The 18,080-nt window shown below is 44.7% G+C and overlaps 1 long non-coding RNA gene across 1 annotated transcript, besides 2 other annotated features; it reads right to left on the bottom strand.

The window, feature by feature from the left end:
• Positions 1-4,273: 4,273 nt before the first annotated feature.
• Positions 4,274-11,963, bottom strand: LINC02385 (long intergenic non-protein coding RNA 2385). The gene is made up of 3 exons (XR_945288.4): positions 11,520-11,963; positions 9,899-10,162; positions 4,274-4,418 (listed from the first exon to the last, which is right to left on the bottom strand). It is a non-coding gene; the product is annotated as a long intergenic non-protein coding RNA 2385 (long non-coding RNA).
• Positions 5,140-5,309: an enhancer, noted in NCBI's record as "experimental_23757 CRE fragment used in MPRA reporter constructs". NCBI's record gives its function as "activates a minimal promoter by MPRAs in K562 erythroleukemia cells, with activity observed for the introgressed 12:104570489 variant allele {active_cell/tissue: K562}" and the evidence as "EXISTENCE:reporter gene assay evidence [ECO:0000049][PMID:34662402]".
• Positions 17,889-18,058: an enhancer, noted in NCBI's record as "experimental_23756 CRE fragment used in MPRA reporter constructs". NCBI's record gives its function as "activates a minimal promoter by MPRAs in K562 erythroleukemia cells, with activity observed for both the introgressed and non-introgressed 12:104557740 variant alleles {active_cell/tissue: K562}" and the evidence as "EXISTENCE:reporter gene assay evidence [ECO:0000049][PMID:34662402]".

The raw sequence follows: 18,080 nt of genomic DNA, 5'->3' as shown, positions 1-18,080 counted from the left end.
CTTGAACCCAGGAAGAGGAGGTTTCAGTGAGCCAAGATCGTGCCACTGCACTCCAGGCTGTATGACAAGAGCGAGATTTCCTCTCAAAAAAAAAAAAAAAAAACTGATTATAAGTACTAAAGTAGACCTATAGTAGACTGGGTACCAGGGAGGACTTCCTGGAGGTGATACCCATGCTGAGTGGAAGTTGGCCAGGCAATGAAATGAAAGCCAAGGGCACTTCAAAAGTGTGGAAAGTGCTGGGAAGGGTTGCTTCTCAATGCAGACTGCACTGAAGAGCCTGTGTTGGGAAGAAAGTAAATTTGTAAAGGGAGTCAGGGGACAGATGCTAACTGGCTTTGCACGTTGCATCCAGGAATACAGATTTAATCCAGAGGGAATGAGGAGCCATGGAAGATTTTTAAGCAGGAGAGTGACATCATCTGATTGAGTTGTGTTGTTTTTGTCGTTGGTGGAGGCAGTGTGGAGAACGGTTTGGAGAGGTTCCAGGATTAACTCCTGTAGGCCTGGAATTGGCCTGAGATGAGCCACTGAAGTGAAACACGTACCTGCCAGCACTGATCTCTGATCCCTGGTCAAGACATGAAACCTTCTGACTAATAATGTTACTTTGTAATCATGGATTCAAGGCAAGTTTCAGGACAGTTTGCTGAAAATTGTGAGACTTTAATGATAACTGTGAGATTGGTAATTTGCACTTGGTCTCAGTGAGACCCCTGGGGAGCTCTGCCACTGGGGCAGTTACATAGCAAGAATATACCTATGTGACCAGCAGGGGATAAGAAATTCAGCCTGTCCTCCCTTTCGGACACCCTGGTTGCAAGGTGTTCAGTGCACACGTTAGTGATTCCTGATCTAAAAGAGAAAGTGCATCCATTCAGCCTTGCAGAAAGAGTAGGATTGGAGCCTGCATCTGGCCTCTCCAGATCCTTTGCTGTGATGCAGTCTTTGGCTACTTCCTATTCATTGCCTTACTTTATGCTGTTGTGTGATTGTATCCTTTCCCTGCAAGATTGTCATTTTGGGTCCTATGAGTCTTCTTTAAGAATCAAACCCTGTCTAACTGCCGCCATTACTGCAGGGCAGGGATGACTGGTTCAATGGTATCCCAGTGCCTAATATAGGGCTTAGCAAAAAATATGCATTATCGGGAATATTTGTTGAATGGTTCATCCTAGCAATGGTGAAGAGTGGAGAGCTGAGGCAGGCATCTTGCAATCTAGCTTCACTGATGCCCTTCAATGTCTAACCCTTGAGAGCTGCTCAGTAACTGTGTCTCAAATGCATAAGTAAATGAAAGAAGGAATGCATGTTCTATTTACCCAGACTTGGCAGTGATCTCAAGGAGCCACAGGGCAAAAGAAAGGAAGGCCAACGAGACAGCTACATACAGCTCATCTTTCGTCAGGACTCCCGGACACCCCCATTTAAGGACAGCTTCTCGTGGATCCTTTAGAGAAATTGTTCTGAAGTGAGAGGATCCAGCTGATTTTATTTTTGCAGATATTTTACCCACGCTCCTCTCTCTACATCACCCCAGGAGTTCATCAACTTTTTAAAACTGCCAATGATGATTTAAAAGCAGCTTTTTTTGTACTCTTTTATTCTTATCAAGTCTGCCTCTTCTACAATTTCCCTTTCCAAAAATGACCTCTAATTTTGCTTTGCCCTAAAAACTTCTAAATAGAGGAATTCCCCTCTTAAAAAAAAAAAAAGTAGTTAGAAGTCCTGTATATAGAGAGATCTTAAAGTCCTATCATGTATTGGGCTTCTCTCTTTTCATCTTCTTAAGCACAAAGTGGCCCCCCAAAATGTGTGAGGCCTTTCTCGAGTTCCATATTATTTCTATTCAGTAGCCATGAAACTACTTTTGTGCCAGAGATAGGCTTTGACAGAGGGTCTAGGAGTAAGTATTCTATTTCAGGTTCTTCTGAGCATTAATGAGAATGAACTCAATGGTTCATTGAAATCAGTGGAGGAAAAAAAAGTGGATTTGCCGTTGACTTTAGTACCCAGAAAATGAGCCCTGGGTTCACTAACTGATATAGTTTGGATATTTGTCCCCAACCAAATCTCATGTTGAAAGGTAATCCTCAATGTTATAGGTGGGCCTGTGGGGAGGAATTTGGAACATGGGGGCCTCATGAATGGCTTCGGCCATCCCCTTGGTGATGAGTGACCTCTCGCTCTGAGTTGACACGCGATCTGGTGGTTTAAAAGTGTGTGGCACCTCTCCACCCCTTGCTCCTGCTTTCGCCGTGGGACATGCCTGCTCCCACTTTGCCTTCCATCTTGAGTAAAATCTTCTTAGCGCATCCCGAGAGGCAGATGCCACTATGCTTCCTGTACAGCCTGAAGAACTCTGAGCCAATTAAACCTGTTTTCTTATAAATTGCCCAGTCTCAGGTATTTATAGCAATGCAAGAATGGCCTAACACATTTTTATATCTAACCCACACCCTCTCTGAGTAAAGTGGAGATCATAATGAAGTATTTTTATTTTAAAAGTATAGGCTGGGCATGGTGGCTCACGTCTGTAATCCCAGCACTTTGGGAAGCTGAGGCAGGTGGATCACTTGAGGTCAGGAGTTCAAAACCAGCCTGGCCAACATGGTGAAACACTGTCTCTACTAAAAAAATAAAAATTAGCCAGGCATGGTGGCGTGAACCTGTAATCCCAGCTATTTGAGAGGCTGAGGCAGGAGAGTCACTTGAACCCAGGAGGCGGAAGTTGCAGTGAGCCAAGATAGCACCACTGCACTCCAGCTTGGGTGACAGAGCAAGACTCCGTCTCAAAAAAAAAAAAAAAGTATAGTAGCTGGAGACTCTGAGGTACAACTGGCAGAAACTAACTAGAATAAATGAAAAGAGAATTTATTGGCTCATATAAAGGAAAGTCAGTTGCCTTCAGGCACAGCTTGATCTAGGAGCTCAAATGATGTTGTCAAATCACATTCCCTTTCTCTTAAGCAGGTTTTCTTTACTAGGGATTATAACGATCACTAGCAGCCCAAACTTACTAGTTAAGCATCTTCAAGGGAAGGAGAGTATCTTCCCAAATCCCCCTGGCAAGAAAATCTATGGAGGATTTTAAATGACCTTATTCAGGTCATGTGCCCAGTCCTGAATCATTTATTATGTTCAAGGGCATGGGGTCCTTTGGTAGGGGCAGTCTGGGTCTATGGCAGGGTGGATATAATCAAACCCACTCAAAATACATGGGGCAAGTTTTCCCATAGGAAAGAAGAGTGCTGTTTCCAGAAAAGGGAAGGACTGTCAGGCAGACAAGCACAACAGATGTTCCCCATAAAAGGCCTTTCAAAGTAACTAGTCAATGGAAGAGAGAAGCAGAAGAAAATAAGAAGTTGGGGTAGGGTGGCATAGACTTCATTTTTTTTTTTCATTTTCAATTTCTTCTTTTCTTCCTTCATCTCTTCTAGTAAGTCTCCTTGGTGCTGGAAACCATAGCAGCAGAGGCTGAGACTGCGGACTTATGGCATGAAGTGATGAGAGCTTTAGTAGAGATACGAATAACCCAGGCTGGGCAGGCCTCCCTTCCTGAGAGCATAATTTCAAGTCAGGTCAGATGGATGATGAGAAGGAGAATTTCAAGGTGAAGGAGGGGAGGCAAAGCCAGGCCAGGCAAAAGGCATAGCTGGCACCAAATGCTGGCATTCTGGCTGTCAGACGCATTCACTGAATGCCAGAAGGTTCTCTGTGGCTGGAACCCAGGCTGGGAGGAAGTGGGCTGGGTAATTAGAGAGGAGCTGGGAGAGGGACCTCCCGGCAGATTGTGAAATGCCTTGAACCTCACGCCAAAATGTTTGGACTTGATCTTATCTCTGGGTTTTGAAGAGCAGGGGAGTCTTTAGACTCTAGAGTCAATTTTTCAAATATCTTAACGATACTATCTCTGGCAGTTGAGGGGAACATGGGGGTGGAATTGGGCAAGACTGCTGGCAAGCAGCCCAGTGAGGAGGTCAGGGTGGGAATCCTGGCAAGAAACTTCGAAGGCCACCAGGGCTGTAACAGGAGGGTGGGATTCTGGAGGCAAAACCCAGGGAGAGTCCATGGGGTTTGGCCACTGCCAACAGATCAGGGCAGAAATGATAAACAGAAGAGGCACAGGGAGGCAGGAGCTTGAAACAAGGAGCTACTGCCCTCCCCCGGCCAATTGGCCACAGAATGAATCATCCATTAAGATACAGGAAAGTTCACCACATTCTCAGAACAGAAGATGCTGGCTGCTGGAAAACAATGTCAGGAGGTCTTGTTGCGTAAGTGTAGCTTTTATTTCGTTCACTTTTCAACAGATATTTATTAGGCTCCTGTGATGTGCCAAGTCCTGAGTTAGATGCTGGGTATAAACTGTGAAGTGGAACAGACACCATTCATTTCACCATGCAGCTTTCTATATACTGTATAGGAGACAGACAACAAACAAATGTATATCTAAGTAAAATGAATGAACTGTATTAAGTGTATGAAGGCAATTGATTCTGGGTGCAATGAAAAGAAGTGATGGGATAGGGGGCAGGGAACTTCCTAAAATGAGTGGTCAAGGTAAGGTTGGGTTCTGAGGGGGACTTCACATCACTTTTCACCTGGGGAGGGCACTGAGGGCACTTGCCAGTCAACTATATGTTACTTGACACTGAAGACCACCTCATTCTGCAACTACCTGTATCTCTTGGAAAACACCCAAACTTAAATCCACTAATTAATGATAGTTCCCCAAGTTTACAGTTTTGTTACCAAGAATCTTTTTTCAGCTTTTAAAGTGACATTAAGATATTGGGCTTTGATTCATATTTAAGTAGTTAAGACCCAAGATTACATATAATTGTATGAATAAGGAGAACTAAACTGATCATTTTCAAAATAACTGCATAATCTCATAATCCACCCTCATAACTTGCTGGGAAATATGTTGTTCTATCATTTCAACCAACAGAGTTGAAAGAAACTAAAAGAACAATTTGCTCAACCTGTTAAAAATAAATTATTGTGACTTTCTGTAATGTGCTTACAGAAAAGGAACAGAAAAAACCATTTTTTTCCATTTCTTCAAAATATGAACACAATAAACCTAAAGTTGTGTAATCTAACACATTTCAGACTTTTTATAGATAGAAAATAATTTTTTCCCAGGACGCAAGAGAAACCCACATCTCTTTAATGTTTTTTGTGTTTTCCTTTTTCCAGCCTGAGAATCACTTTAAATTTCTTAATAATAAAGACTTGAAGATGTTATGTTATGGGCCCACGACTACAGATTATAAATCTTAGTGATGGAATTGAATACTGTTCTGCCAAGTTCCACTCTTTTGACATCCCTAACTGGAAAAACTACTATTATACAAATAATATATGCTCATAAAAATCCAAATTATGGCCAGGCACGGTGGCTCATGCCTGTAATCCTAGCACTTTGGGAGACCGAGGCGGGTGGATCACCTGAGGTCAGGAGTTCAAGACCAGTCTGACCAACATGGTGAAACCCCGACTCTACTGAAAATACAAAAATTAGCTGGTCTTGGTGGCGCGTGCCTGTAATCCCAGCTACTCAGGAGGCTGAGGTGGGAGAATCACTTGAACCAGGGTGGCGGGGGTTGCAGTGAGCCGAGATTGTGCCATTGCACTCCAGCCTGGGCGACAGAGCAAGACTCTGTCTAAAAAATAAAAATAAAAAATAAAAAATCCAAATTATACAGAAACATACAGGTTCAAAAGGTCCCTCCATCACTGTAGTAGGCCCTGTTGCTTACTTACCTGACATTCATCCACCACTTCCGTATTCCTAACAGAACCCAGGTTTTTTGCAGTTTCCCACCTTCCCCTCAACAGCCACAACAGCCACATGCTTCTGGGGAGGTGGGCACTAGCTGAGACTGAAAGTGTGGTCCTGTGGTCCTGATTGGTCTCACTTCCCCTTGCTAGTAATTGGTTTAAATCAGGATATGTGACAAATAGGGGGCGTTAGCTAGGGCAATTGTTCTTAAAAAACAAGAATGCAATGGCCGGGCGCAGGGACTCACGCCTGTAATCCCAGCCCTTTGGGAGGCCGAGGCAGGTGGATCACGAGGTGAGGAATTCAAGACCAGCCTGGCCAATATGGCGAAACCCCATCTCTACTAAAAATACAAAAAAATTAGCTGGGCGTGGTGGCGTGTCCCTGTAATCCCAGCTACTTGGGAGGCTGGGGCAGAGAATTGCTTGAACCTGGGAGGCAGAGGTTGCAGTGAGCTGAGATCGCGCCACTGCACTCCCCCAGCCCCGGCGACAGAGCAAGATTCCTTCTCAAAAAAAAAAAAAAAAAAAGAATGCCCATGAACGCCATGAGAATGTCCTCTCAGATCTCCAGCTGCTGGGAGCACTGCTGATGGATGGCTGCTGTAGTGTCTGAACATCTGAGGCCACAATTCTCAGCGGCTGCTTCCAGCCAGTGACAGAGTGTGTCAGGGATATTAAGACAGCTTGTTTCTGAGAGATGTGGGACTCCTCTGACAGGTGACTTTGGCTAGAGAACTCAGCAACAGCATTGCTGAATTTTCCTTAGAAGTACATGGCTAAGACACTTTCCTCCAACCTTCCACCCTAACTTCCTCCTCTCCTCTTGTGTTCAGACCTTCATCAATCTCTGATGGCTCTCCCAGCCTCCATCACCTCCCTCCTCAATTTCTCTTAAAGGCATTTCCCCTAATAAATTTCTAGCACATTTAATCCTGTTTTGGTGTCTGCTTTTCATAGGACCTAGATTAGCACAATGCTTTCTCTGCTATGAATGCTGTTAGGTTTGGAGGTGACTCCTGAAACCTCTGCACCTACCCCTCACAACAGGAGCCACCTGAGAACAAAGCCTCATTACTGAGCAGATATGGGACTCCTTTGACAGGTGACTTTGGCTAGAGGACTCCACAACAGCATTGCTGAACTTTGCGTAGAAGTACATGGAAAGCAGAAAGATGGAAAGAAGAGCTGCTGTGTTCACCAACCCCAGGGTCCCTGTTTCCATGGACTTCTTATTTTGCAAGATAAGACACTTTCTTATTGTATATTAAACCCCGGCTGAGTGGGTTTTTTTGTTTTGTTTTGTTTTGTTTTACTGGCAACAGAAAGCTTTGTCACTGATATAGTTACTCTCCAACCCCACTTCCCAGAAGAAACCTCTGATAACATTTACTATGAAATTTTCCAACACATTTACAAACATTCATACTTTGCAACTTCATTTACTTTGTAGTCATCAATATATTATGTATTAATACATTTTTCCATATCAGTACATATAGATCTACCTCAGTCTTTTTCATGGCCACATAGCATTCTATAGAGGGATGTGCCCTAATCTTTGTGCCTCTATCAATGATCATTTATTTTATTATTATTATTTTTGGTATAGAACAGTTGGTACATATCAGTGACCACTTATGTTGTGCCCTTTGTCTACCTTAAGAGACATGAGGAGAGAACCACTGAAAAAGGCTTCCCTCAAGGGAAAATTACTATGTTCTTCCTTTCTCCATCCCTAAAATGGGGCCTCCCTTAATGCTGGGACAATATATATATATATATATATATATTTTTTTTTTTTTTTTTTTTTTTTTTGAGACAGAGTCTCACTTTGTTGCCCAGGCTGGAGTGCAGTGGTGTGATCTCGGCTCACGGCAACCTCCACCTCCCGGGTTCAAGCGATACTCCTGCCTCAGCCTCCCTAGTAGCTGGGACTACAGGCACGTGCCACCACTTCTGACTAATTTTTTTGTATTTTTAGTAGAGATGGGGTTTCACGGCGTTAGCCAGGATGGTCTCGATCTCTTGACCTCGTGATCTGCCCACCTTGGCCTCCCAAAGTGCTGGGATTACAGGCATGAGTCACCCCTCCCAGCCTGGGGCAATATACTTTTAAATAAACATCAAAAGCAAGTAAATCAAAAAAATTGTACATAATTTGGCTTACAGTCATCCACTGTCATTCTCCAAGACCTATCTGTCTTTTGTGCAGATCAAACAGGAGTTTAATGGGAGTGTGGTGGGAATCACCACTTCTGCATCTTTCAAGTCCTTGATGGTGACACTAATATCTGCAATCTCTCCAGGAATTGTTTTTGCTTTTGGTTTACAATTTTCCTAGTCAGAGGCAGTTCTAATGGCTTCCACTTGGCCTTTCCCACCTAGTAGCCCTCTCCACAGTTCAGGAAAGCAATGTGAGGACTCTGCCAGCTGCTGCTTAGTATGTCTATTCCAATTATGTATTCTTATTTATTTATTTATTTATTTTTGCCACAGAGTGTTGCTCTGTCTCCCAGGCTTGAGTGCAATGGTGCAATCTTGGCTCACTGCAACCTCCACCTCCCGGGTTCAAGCGATTCTCCTGCCTCAGCCTCCTGAGTAGCTGGGATTACAGGTGCCTGCCACTGCACCCAGCTAATTTTTGTATTTTTTAGTAGAGACAGGGTTTCGCCACGTTGGCAAGGCTGGTCTCGAACTCCTGACCTCAGGTGATCCACCCGCCTCGGCCTCCCAAAGTGCTGGAATAACAGGCATGAGCCACTGTGCCCGGCCCCAATTATGTATTCTTAAACTGGGGAAATAACTGCAGGTGGTTTTGGAGACCCACTGGGCCCACTGTGAGTTAAAACTTCATTGAGCACCTGACCTCCATAAGCCCCTACTCTGGTGGACCACAGTGATGTTTTAGGTCTCCTGAAACCAACATCAGTTTAGAGCAAATGTCAAGAAGTCCCGAAAGGAATTGTAGAGTTATCTCTTCCCCAGTGTACAGTTATACTGGTAAAAGGCTGTAGGTCCCTCCCCTAGACTGGGAGAAAGATTAACAGTATACGTATTTCCAGTGGTGTATCCAGGTCCTTCCTCAAGGGGATCTGACCTTTCCTTTATTCAAGGGGTTCAAGGTCTGTACACAGGCTCAAGTCTGAAAATTGGTTGAGCACCATGATTCTACTTTTTATGATTCAGCTTAGGCTTTTGTTCACTTGACCTAGAAGTTTTCTGCTTATGCAGATCCAGGAAGAATTTAGTAGGCTTCCCATCTATTTCACTTGTAGGAACACCATCAGCAATCAGCCAACGCCCTAGGTTTGCATCTGTCAAGCTATTCTGATTGCAGCTTTGACTCTGCTGTTCTGTATGATAACCACGCCCACCTTGCCTTGTTGCGGGGAGGGGTTGAGTGCTGCCATCCCGGGATCCAATTACCCCTAATGCATCTAGGCTTCCTAAGTTAATTTAATTCCCAATTACAGCAAATTAATCAGACTTAGTAACAAGGCACGGCACACATTTTGTAGAAGACAAGATCTCCCAGAGAGGCCTGGTTGCAGAGGAGCAGCCTAAGAGTACGTGTGGAAGAAGACCGAGTATTCCAGCCTATTCCACCCACTGGGCCTCCTCTGGCCCTTCCCTTCTGCCTTCCTTACTCTTCCACTCCATGGCGTCGCCTCCTTCTTGGCTGGGGTTATGGAGACCGTGAGGGAAGGAAGAACAAGTTGACTTGGTTGGAGGGATCTTTTTGCTGCAGAAAGAGTCTCTGCTGCGCTGGTTGGGCTCAGGTGACTGGGGAGACCTGCAGGTCCACCGCCGCACCCCAGCCGGCCAGCCTCCAGCCCTTGGGCCCCGCCCCCTTTCCACAGGCCCCGCCCTTCCCCCCTAGCTCCGCCCTCCGCCTGCCCTGTCCCCGCCCCCTGCTCCCCTCCAGGAGCACTGACCTCTGGCTCTTGCAGGCCCCGTCTCCAGGACTAGAAGTCACTCGCCTTCCTTACTCTGCAAGGGGTTATTATGAGTGTAAAGAGACAAAACGAGGCTGAAGTGTTCATTCTAAGGCGCCGTTATTGTTAGAGCCAAACGACCAATGTGGTTCACCTGACGCAAGCCTTACCTTCTGAGAAAGGGACGGGGCCTCGAATCCGGAAGCCCATCGCAGAGGTCTGGTGTTGAAGACTCAACTCTGAACCCTGATGCTCACAGCAACGACTTCTGGCAAAACTGCCTAGCTTCGCCATTCCAGGAAGCACCCACTTGAGCCAGCTGATTGCAATCACTTATTGACCTTAAACTGGCCCAGTTTGGAGAGGGATTTTGTCTGGGTCGGAAGATAAAAGCAGCTTGCTTGGCTTTTTCGGAGCTTTTTCAGCTTGCCTACCTATTGTAGCAAACATTAAAATAGCACCGGCTATATTACACATCAACTGTAACTGCTGGGATTACAGGCATGAGCCACTGCGCCCAGCCTCTCTTTGCATCTTTATTTTTACATCTGTATTTGCTTGAAATTTTCATTGATAAAATATAAGAAATTCTTTGGAAAGAGTATAATTTTGCTTTTAAAATTACTTATGTTTGAATAACTCATTTAATTTGGTTATGATTTCTTACATATCAGTTCATGTTTTGGAATCTTTCCAAGTGAGAAAATAATAACAACAATTAGTACACGTCTAGTACAGAGAATGTGCCATGCACTGTTCCAAGTCTTTTGCCCATTTAATCCTCTTAAAAATCTATGAGGTTAGTGGCTGGGTGTGGTGGCTCATGCCTGTAATCCCAGCACTTTGGGAGGCCAAGGCGGGTGGATCACCTAAGGTCAGGAGTTGGGAGACCAGCCTGACCAATATGGTGAAACCCTGTCACTACTAAAAATACAGAAATTAGCTGGCGTGGTGGTGGGCGCCTGTAGTCCCAGCTACTTGGGAGGCTAAGACAGGAGCATCACTTGAACCCAGCAGGCAGAGGTTGCAGTGAGCCGAGATCATGCCATTGCACTCCAGTCTGGGTGACAGAGCGAGACTCTGTCTCAAAAAAAATAAAAAAATCTATGAGGTTAGTGATATAATTTATTTATGGGATTAGAAAGAATGAGGACACTGAAGCTCAGAGATGTTGAGTAACTTGCTGCAAGTTACACAGTAAAGAGTGGAGCCAGAATTTGGACACAGGCAATTTGGCTTCACAGTTCATGCCCTTCACCAGTATGCTAATTTGCAATTTATTTCCCAATATAAGGAAATTTTTATGAATGCAATATTGAACAATTAATGAAGTTGACAAGAATGAAGTGCTTTATACACACTTGTTTCACATTTATTAACTTATATTTTGAAATTTTCTCTTTATATTTTATTAATTTTTTTTTTTTTGAGACAGCTCTGTCACCCAGGCTAGAGGGCAGTGGTGTGATCTCAGCTCACTGCAACCTCTGCCTCCCAGACCAGCAATCCTTCCACCTCAGCCTCCTGAGTAGCTGGGACAAGTGCAAGCTACCACGCCCAGCTAATTTTTGTACTTTTTGTAGAGATGGTGGTTTTTGCCATGTTGCCCAGGCTGGTCTTGAGCTGTATTTTAGAGCAATACTGTTTTTCAAGGTCCCAGATATTTTTACAGGCTCCAAATATTTCACAAGCCCTGGGCCTTTCCTGCCCTGAGATCTAAAGCAGAAAATTGATGAGCTCTCTGGCAATACTTAAGTCTGATTCTCTTTGCCTCTGCCCTCTTTTACCAACCTTGCTGAGGTTTTGGATTCTGACATATCCTGCAGATCTCCAGGGTTTGCCACTTTCCATGTCTGTGATGGTTAATGTTAGGTGTCAACTTGACTGGGCTAAGGGATGCCCAGGTAGCTGGTAAACGTTATTCCTGGGTGTGTTTGTGAGGGTGTTTCTGGAAGAGATTAGCATTTGACTCAGTAGACTGAGTAAAGCAGATCCACTCTCCCCTGTGTGGGTGGCATCATCCAATGTTTTGAGGGCCAAATAGAACAAGAAAAGTGGAGGAAGGGCAAATTCTCTCTCTCTGTCTCCCTCACTTTCTTTCTCCCTCTCTCTTCTTCAGCTGGGATATCCATCTTCTCCTGCCCTCAGATATCAGAATTCCTGGTTCTCAGGCCTTCATACTGGGACTGAATTACATCATCAGCTTTGCTGTTTCTCCAGCTTGCAGATGGCATATTGTGGGACTTCTTCTTTCTTCTTCTTTTTTTTTTTTTTTTTTGAGATAGAGTCTTCCTCTGTCACCCAAGCTGGAGTGCAGTGGTACGATCTTGGCTCACTGCAACCTCTGCCTCCTGGGTTCAAGCAATTCTCCTTGAATTGCTCAGCCTCCCTGAGTAACTGGGACTACAGGCGCATGCTACCACGCCCAGCTAATTTTTTTTTTTTTTTTTTTTTTTTGTATTTTTAGTAGAGACAAGGTTTCACCATGTTGGCCAGGCTGGTCTGGAACTCTTGAACTCAGGTGATCCGCCCGCCTTGGCCTCCCAAAGTGCTGGGATTACAGGTGTGAGCCACCGCGCCCGGCCGATATTGTGGGACTTCTTGAAGGCCTCCATAATTGTGTGAGCCAATTTTCATAATAAATCTCCTCATTTCGAACACTTGGACACAGGGTGGGGAACATCACGTACCAGGGCCTGTTGTGGGGTCGGGGGAAGAGGGGAGGGAGAGCATTAGGAGATATACCTAATGTAAATGACGAGTTGATGGGTGCAGTACACCAACATGGCACATGTATACATATGTAACAAACCTGCACGTTGTGCACATGTACCCTAGAACTTAAAGTATAAAATAAATAAATAATAAATAAATAAATCCAATATATGAAAAAATAAAAATAAAAAATGATTTTAATACATAAGTTCAAGAAGGTATAGGAAGCATTTAAAATGTTTCAGTAGTGACATAGAAGTGGAAAAGATCAAAATAAAACTTATAAAAAATAAAAATTAAAAAATTAAAAAAAACTCCTCATTTCTCTCTATCTCCTATTGGTTCTGCTTCTCAGGAAAACGCTAATACCATACCCCCACTGATCGTTTCTGTCTGCTGTCTTCAGTACCTCCACAGCCCATCTTCTTGAGTGGACCCTGGTCCATTTTGACCCTTAGTTCTTCTACCTTGAGCAACTGGTATCTGTTTGCCCTAGGGAATGTCTCAGCTTTCCCAGTTTCCCCCAGCTCCAAGTTTGGTTGGCCACACTTTGGTCAGAACCGACAGGATCTGGCCTACAGAAATTCCATGAGATGGGCAGGGCGAGTCTCACCTCAAATTTTTTTTCTCAACCTCCACTTTATCAGTTCAGCCTGTCCTGAGGACTTGGAAACATTCTCTCCAATGGTATTTCTGGTTTTTGTTTGTTTGTTTGTTTGTTTTTTGAGACCAAGCGTCAATCTGTTGCCCAGGCTGGAGTGCAGTGGCGTGATCTCAGCTCATTGCAACCTCTGCCTCTGGGTTTGAGTGATTCTCATGCCTCAGCCTCCTGAGTAGCTGGGACTACAGGCGTGAGCCACCACACCTGACTAATTTTTGTGTTTTTAGTAGAGATGGGGTTTCACCATGTACTTAGATTTATCATGCCTTGAAAATGGACCATTTAAAATGTTTTCTCACATGGCTCTACAACTTACTTGTCTTGGGCCATTTTTTAATTCCCTAAACTAGAGGTTCCCAGCCTTTTTGCACCAGTGATCGGTTCTGTGGAAGATAATTCTTCCACAGATGGGAGCAGGATGGGGGGATGGTTTCATCAGTCATTAGATTCTCCTAAGGAGCATGCAACTTAGATGCAGCCCAGATCCCTCACATGCACAGTTCACAATAAAGTTCATATTCCTATGAGAATCTAATGCCACTGCTGATCCGACAGGAGGCAGAGCTCAGGTGGTAATGTGTGCATTAGGGAGCAGTTGTAAATACAGGTGAGCTTTGCTCACTTGCCTGCTGTACACCTCCTGCTGTGCTGCTCGGCTCCTGCTGTGCTTCTCGGTTCCTAACAGGCTGTGAACCAGTACTGGTCCATGGCCCAGTGGTTGGGGTCCCCTGCCCTAAGCTGTATTGGACTGAACAGACTCTTGAATTCCAGAGACCTCCAAGAACTCAGAGGCACTCCAGGAACCAATAGAGGCAATTCAACAAGTGGTACTTTATTCACTAAGGAAGGATGGAACCCATGCCAGCAGACCTAAGCCTTCAGAGTTGGTGATAAGCTTACATATGAGATCACAAAATCAAAATCCTTCAGGCTTGTTACCAGTAAAGATTTTTAAACATATGTTTTGGAGGAAAAACTGATTTGGAAGTTGACAGTTCATCTGCCCTTTTGATCTTTGTGTCAGTCTATGCTTATCTTTTTATTTCTTGGTACATTACAGAGTTCTCATTAAGTCACGCTTGGAATGCATGCTTACCCTGTGCTCACAGTTATCTTTAGGGAGGGTTTGTGGCTAGTAGTCCTCCCCAGCAGGTGAGGGCCCAGGGCAAAATACATTCTGTCCCTTCCTTCCAACTCTAAATGTTTAAGGCAAGATAAGTCATATTAAAATTACCACAAAGAACAGCCTCAAGTGGAAAATAAGACACACAATAAGATGACTTAGGAACATAAGGGAACCCAGTATCCTATAACCTGTCTGCCTCTGGTGTTGCAGGAATTTGTGGGCTGACTGTGTGTGAGTCTTTCCATTATTTTCTATTGCTCACTAACTGAGCTATTGTCACACCCAGTTGGTCACCACACAGAAGCTGGATCCAGAAATACCACTGGAGGCCGGGCATGGTGGCTCACGCCTGTAATCCCAGCACTTTGGGAGGCTGAGGCAGGTGGATCACCTGAGGTCAGGAGCTCGAGACCAGCCTGGCCAACATGGTGAAACCCCATCTCTACTAAAAATACAAAAATTAGCTGGGCGTGGTGACAGGTGCCTGTAATCACAGCTACTCGGGTGGGTGAGGCAGGAGAATTGCTTGAACCGGGAGGCAGAGGTTGCAGTGAGCCAAGATTGTGCCACTGCACTCACTCCAGCCTGGGTGACAAGAGTGAAACTCCATCTCAAAAAAAAAAAAAAAAAAAAGTCTCACTTTTGCTGTTCTTCGTGCCTGTAAGTCCATTCTTTGGGACTGGATGGGTGAGTGTCTTTCTCACAGGCAGAAACACAACTTGATATCACGGAGAAAGGAAACAAGAAGAAAATGAAGCCATGCTGTATTTTAGCTTGTGGATATTAATGTTGCTATTTGCATCATTTCCCACAGTTGTTTTGACATGAATAGTCCAGGAGCGTGCTAGGCAAGGGTTTTCTGAGCATGGTGGTGGTCGTACGGGGTGGTGGTGGGGATAAAGTGGAGAGAGAGAATATGACAGGTGTATAAACTGGCCTGAGCCACCATGTTGCACAGCTGCAGGGGGTGCTATTCACTATAGTCTAAGTGAATGGTGCTCCCTGGAGTCATGCACGGCATCATCTGAGCCTTGGAGGTTTAAGAGAATAAAGTAATCATCTCACTAGTCCAGCTGAGAAATGTCCTGGCCGACAGACAAGCAGTCCTCTCCCAGCAGCCTAAACCACTTTGTCTACTCAGTGGTTTTTCTCTCTACTCACACCACTTAATACTTCACTTCTGACACCAGATGTGTGTGGGTTTTTCTCCATACACCAAGGAATTCTCGTCAGGCACCAGCTTTGCATCCTATAATTCCATTCGATTCTGACACTATCTAGAGATAGCATCAGATCCCATGGGTTGAGGACCCAGTCCCATAAGACTGCTTTAGATGCCAGTTGCAAGCCCAAGGTTGTGATTAGTGCTTCCAGCCAATCAGCTATTGAGAAGGAACAGAGGTCCCTGCTAGGCACCCTCAAGCATGGAAATAAAGGCAAATCTTGAGTTCATTTAAGGGAAATCCTGGGAACCTAGCTAGCCCTGAGAAGTAAATGAGCAACTTAATAAGCAAAAAGGTAATAGTAGCTTAAAACAATAGCCAAGGAAGTTAGAGTCATGAGATGTTTGGTTCTCTATAGAAACTAAAGATAACATGTTAACAAATAGCCCTGAGTTGTTCTTTAGAAATCCAGACCCCTGCCAAATGGATCCACTGGCACACGGACCTCAGATAAGGGGAGAACACTGAGGACTGAACTCTGGCTGCCATTCTTTGTTCTAAATTTCTTCCTCAGGGGCCAGGAGGAAGTCACGCCCATGGGCCAGACCTAACATTGTTTTCTGATGACCCCAAGTCTTTAGATGAAGCTTTCCTTCCCTAACCAATTGCAAATCAGAAAATCTTTTAATTGACCCATGACCTGTAAGCCCTTGGTTGAGGATATCCTGCCTTTTTAGGCCAAACTGATGTTTAACCTCCAAGTATTGGTTTACAATTTTGCCTGTAACTTCTGCTTTCCTGAAATTTACCTGTACCTTTAAAAACCCTTGGCTTGCAGAGGTCAGATCTTGAGCATGAACTGCCAGATTCTCCTTGCATGGCACACTGCAAATAAATGCCCTCCTTTCTCTCACTGCAAAATCTCAGCATGGATGTTTGGCCTTACTGTGCCAGGCAAGCAGGCCCCAGCTCAGTTTGGCAACACTATAAACTGGAGTTACCATGACCTCCTCCTTGGGTTCAACTAAATTGCTAGGACAGCTCATAGAACTCAGGGAAACACTTTACTTATGTTTATCCATTTCTTATAAAAGATATAATGAACAGATGGATGGAAGAGATGCATCAGAAGGCTTATGAGAAAGGGCACGGAGCTTCCATGCCCTCTCTGGGTGCTCTACCATCCAGGTACCTCCATGTGTTTGGCTATCAAGAAGCTCTTCAGGCCAGGTACGGTGGCTCACCCTTGTAATTCCAGCACTTTGGGAGGCTGAGGCGGGCGGATCACTTGAGCCCAGGAGTTTGAGACCAGTCCGGGCAACATGGCAAAACCCTGTCTCTACAAAACATACAAAATTAGCCGGGCCTGGTGGCGGGCACCTGTAGTCCCAGCTACTCAGGAGGCTGAGGTGGGAGAATCACTTGAGCCCAGGAGGTAGAGGCTGTAGTGAGACGTGATTGTATCACTGCAATCCAGCCTGGGTGACAGTGAGACCCTGTCTAAAAAAAAAATATTTTCAAACCCAGTCCTTTGGTGTTTTTATGGAGGCTTCATTACATAGGTACAATTGATTAAATCATTGGCCACTGATGATCAACTCAACATTTGGCTTCTTTCTTCTCCCTAGAGGTTGGTGGGGTGGGACTAAAAGTTCCAACCTCTACTTACATGATTGCTTCCCCTGGCAACCAGCCTTGGTCCTGAGACTGCTTAGGAAGCCCTAGCCTTCAGTCATCTCATTAGCATATAAATAGACATTTATCCTTTCAGAGGTTCCAAGGTTCCAAGAGCTATGTGCCAGGAACTAGGGGCAAAGACCAAATATATGTTTCTTATTATATCGCAAGAAATAGGCTTTATATCCCAGAGCCTAAAACATTTACTATCTGGCCCTTTACAGAAGAAATTTGATGATCCTTTCTTTATAGCAAGGGCTATATCTTACTTCTCTCTATACTTCGAGCCTCCTGCAACATCAATGTTGGGTAAGCAGAACCGAAAGGGAATTTGTAATTTATGATTAGACTTTGATAAGATTTCTGAAACCCTTACAATGTTCTCACTTTTGTGATTCTGTTACCCCTAGTCAGCTCAGAAGAAAAGAGGAAAGCTAGCCAAATGATTGGGGGCCTTTGGGAAAACATGACAGAGACCTAGACCTGAAAAGCAAGCCCACAACCTTAGCTGGGAGTAGGCTCTTCTGTGCTTCCTCACATCCAGCAGGAAATCATGCTAGTGAGAAAGAAAATAAAACTTTTTTTTTTTTTTTTTAGATGGAGTTTTGCTCTTACTGCCCAGGCTGGAGGGCAATGGTGCGATCTAGGCTCATGGCAACCTCCGCCTCCCAGGTTCAAGTAATTCTCCTGCCTCAGCCTTCCAAGTAGCTGGGATTACAGGCATTTGCCACCATGCCCAGCTAATATTGCATTATTAGTAGAGATAGGGTTTCTCCATGTTGGTCAGGCTGGTCTCGAACCCCTGACCTCAGGTGATCCACCCGCCTCAGCCTCCCAAAATGCTGGGATTACACGCATGAGCCACTGCGCCCAGCCAAAAAGAAAACTTTTTATCTGAGGAAGGTGATCAGGCCCAGAGAGGCATAGGAGTGAGGCAGCAGTCAAGTCCCATTTCCCCACCTCCAGCTGAGTAACTGAGTAATCATCTCTTGAATCCTCCTGTTATGTAT

This window comes from Homo sapiens, chromosome 12 (genome assembly GCF_000001405.40).
Source record: "Homo sapiens chromosome 12, GRCh38.p14 Primary Assembly".
In the NCBI taxonomy this organism is placed as follows: domain Eukaryota; kingdom Metazoa; phylum Chordata; class Mammalia; order Primates; family Hominidae; genus Homo; species Homo sapiens.
The sequence above is the reverse complement of the archived record's forward strand: the minus strand, read 5'-3'. Positions and strand labels throughout refer to the sequence as shown.